This window comes from Homo sapiens, chromosome 9, assembly GCF_000001405.40.
Source record: "Homo sapiens chromosome 9, GRCh38.p14 Primary Assembly".
Lineage (NCBI taxonomy): Eukaryota > Metazoa > Chordata > Mammalia > Primates > Hominidae > Homo > Homo sapiens.
This window is the reverse complement of record NC_000009.12, coordinates 67006925-67009658: the sequence shown is the minus strand read 5'-3', so window position 1 is coordinate 67009658 and position 2734 is coordinate 67006925. Positions and strand designations below refer to the sequence as shown.

At 37.6% G+C, this 2734-nt stretch overlaps 1 long non-coding RNA gene across 1 annotated transcript; it reads left to right on the top strand.

Annotated features, from left to right (window-relative positions):
• Positions 1–636: 636 nt before the first annotated feature.
• LOC105379450 (uncharacterized) lies at positions 637–2734 on the top strand. Its single transcript, NR_135122.1, has 3 exons — positions 637–674; positions 1247–1328; positions 2490–2734. It is a non-coding gene; the product is annotated as an uncharacterized LOC105379450 (long non-coding RNA).

The window sequence follows — 2734 nt, the reverse complement described above, 5'->3', positions numbered from 1 at the left end:
ATTTATAATGCATTTCAAAATTAACTTTATTGTCTAAACCTCTTAACACAAATGTATTAAATTATGTAACAGAGAATTGGCTATTTTTGTTCAAATATCTATTCTTGTCAGACTTAAAATATCACTCAGCTATATGATTAAAAATGAACTACAGTCATTAAATTATTTCCCACTTATTTGTGGCATTTCTCCATATTAGAGGAGACAAACAGTGCTCTTTGAATCTTTTTTTTTTTTTTTTTTTTTTTTTTTGAGACGGAGTCTCGCTCTGTCGCCCAGGCCGGACTGCGGACTGCAGTGGCGCAATCTCGGCTCACTGCAAGCTCCGCTTCCCGGGTTCACGCCATTCTCCTGCCTCAGCCTCTCGAGTAGCTGGGACTACAGGCGCCCGCCACCGCGCCCGGCTAATTTTTTGTATTTTTAGTAGAGACGGGGTTTCACCTTGTTAGACAGGATGGTCTCGATCTCCTGACCTCATGATTCACCCGCCTCGGCCTCCCAAAGTGCTGGGATTACAGGCGTGAGCCACCGCGCCCGGCCCAGTGCTCTTTGAATCGGATGACAGTTCTATTGATAACGGCCATCAGAATCTAGTTACGCATTATTAATTAGGTCAAGGCATGAATAAAATTTCTCCCTTGTTTCCACTCAAAAACTACAAGTATAGTTCCTTGGTAAGATGCTCCAACCATGGCTGGGTGCGGTGGCTCAAGCTTGTAATCCCAGCACTTTGGGAGGCTGAGGCGGGCAGATCACGAAGTCAGGAGATTGAGACTATCCTGGCTAACACGGTGAAATTCTGTCTCTACTAAAAAATACAAACAATTAGCTGGGCATGGTGGTGTGCACATGTAGTGCCAGCTACTCGGGAGGCTGAGGCAGGAGAATGGTGAGAACCTGGGAGGTGGAGCTTGCAGTCAGCCGAGATCACGCCACTGCACTCCAGCCTGGGCAACACAGTGAGACTCCGTCTCAAAATAAATAAATAAAATAAAATAAAAAATAAAATAAAAAAAAGATGTTCCAACCATGATTGGTGATGCCAATCATAGAAGAAAAGAGAATATTGAGAAATAATAAGACAGCTACTTTAAACCATTCTGTGCCTGAACATTTTGATGGCAATATTGGTCATATTATAAATTTGAAAATATAAATGGTAATCTAAATTGACTTTAGTCTACCAGTGATTATGAGAGCTTTATCTAAGTGAAACACTTGCATTTTTATTTCTAACATTTTTCAGAAAATGTGAAACTCCGACCAAGTGCAGTGGCTCATGCCTGTAATCCCAGCTCGTTGGGAGGCCGAGGCAGGTGGATCACAAGGTCAAGAGATCGAGACCATCCTGTCCAATCTGGTGAAACCCCGTCTCTACTAAAAATACAAAAATTAGCTGGGCGTGGTGATGCGCACATGTAGTCCCAGCTACTCGGGAGGCTGAGGCAGGAGAATCGCTTGAACCCGGGAGGTGAAGGTTGCAGTGAGCCAAGATCGTGCCACTGCACTCCAGCCTGGGCAACAGAGCAAGACTCCATCTCAAAAAAAAAAAAAAAAAAAAGAAGAAAAAGAAAATGTGAAGCTCCTTATTATTTTGTTTTAATTTTAAGAATTCCACTTCCTAGATAAGCAGAACATAGAGCCAAGTGCTATGTTCTGGTTGTTTTTAATGAGTATATTTATGTTCTCCCCAATTTATTATTTATTAATGTCTAACTTCAATTAGATGAGTTGATTACTTTTCATACACCATTGACTAAAGGAAACCTAATTTTACACGTAATTCAAGGGGATCTGTAAGTAAGAACATTTTAAAATTAAACCAACACATGTGCATTGAAAATCATTCAAACAGTTTGATGGGCAAAAAACCAGTGAAAACCAGAAACTTTTTTTTTTCCTTCCATAGACCTTGGTCCTGTTTTTCAGAGTTAGACAAGGTTTATCATTTTCTTTTTTTACTATATGCTATTCTCTTGAACTGTAAATAATATTATACAATCACCTAATTTTGTTTTAACAATTTTAAGTAATATCTCTTGACTTTTTATGAACGGTAGAGAATATAGCTCATTTACCCTACTTTCTTCTTCTAAAACTATATTTCCAATTTAGTCTTTAATATATAATTTTATGGGATTTTTTAAAAATTTGCTTTCTCTAAATAATATACTTACAGTGCTTAATTCTTTGCTTAAATAATATACTGTTTAGATAATATATGGTCCATCCAATTTGAACACCACTGATTGGCTCAGTAGGATGTGGAGATTAGTGTACAACTTCCCTCCCCTCCAACAGTCCCTGTCATAGCTTTCGACTTGTATCAAATTTCGTTCTATGCTTATATTTTCACATTTTATGTAAATTACATCCTATTTTGTAATTATAATAAAGTCTGTGCTTTGTTCGTAGGTTAATTTTGATCATGGAATCTCAAGTGAATTGACAGCATCATTATTATGTTTTCTTTTTTTTTCAAACCACAGTCGCAGGTGGCGTGATTTGATTTGTGTGAAGGCAATGAAATGATACACAGATACACCGAAGCCTCCCAAAAGAATCCTGGTTCCAAGACTCAAGAAGATGGATTAATGTTTTTCCATTAATTGTTGGAATTTATGCCATTTTTTACTATGTGCCATCAATTTTAAAGCACTTCTGAAAAGACATAACAATCTAAATGAGATGGCATTTTAAATTCATAAAAATATAGTATTTTCCTCAACTTTTA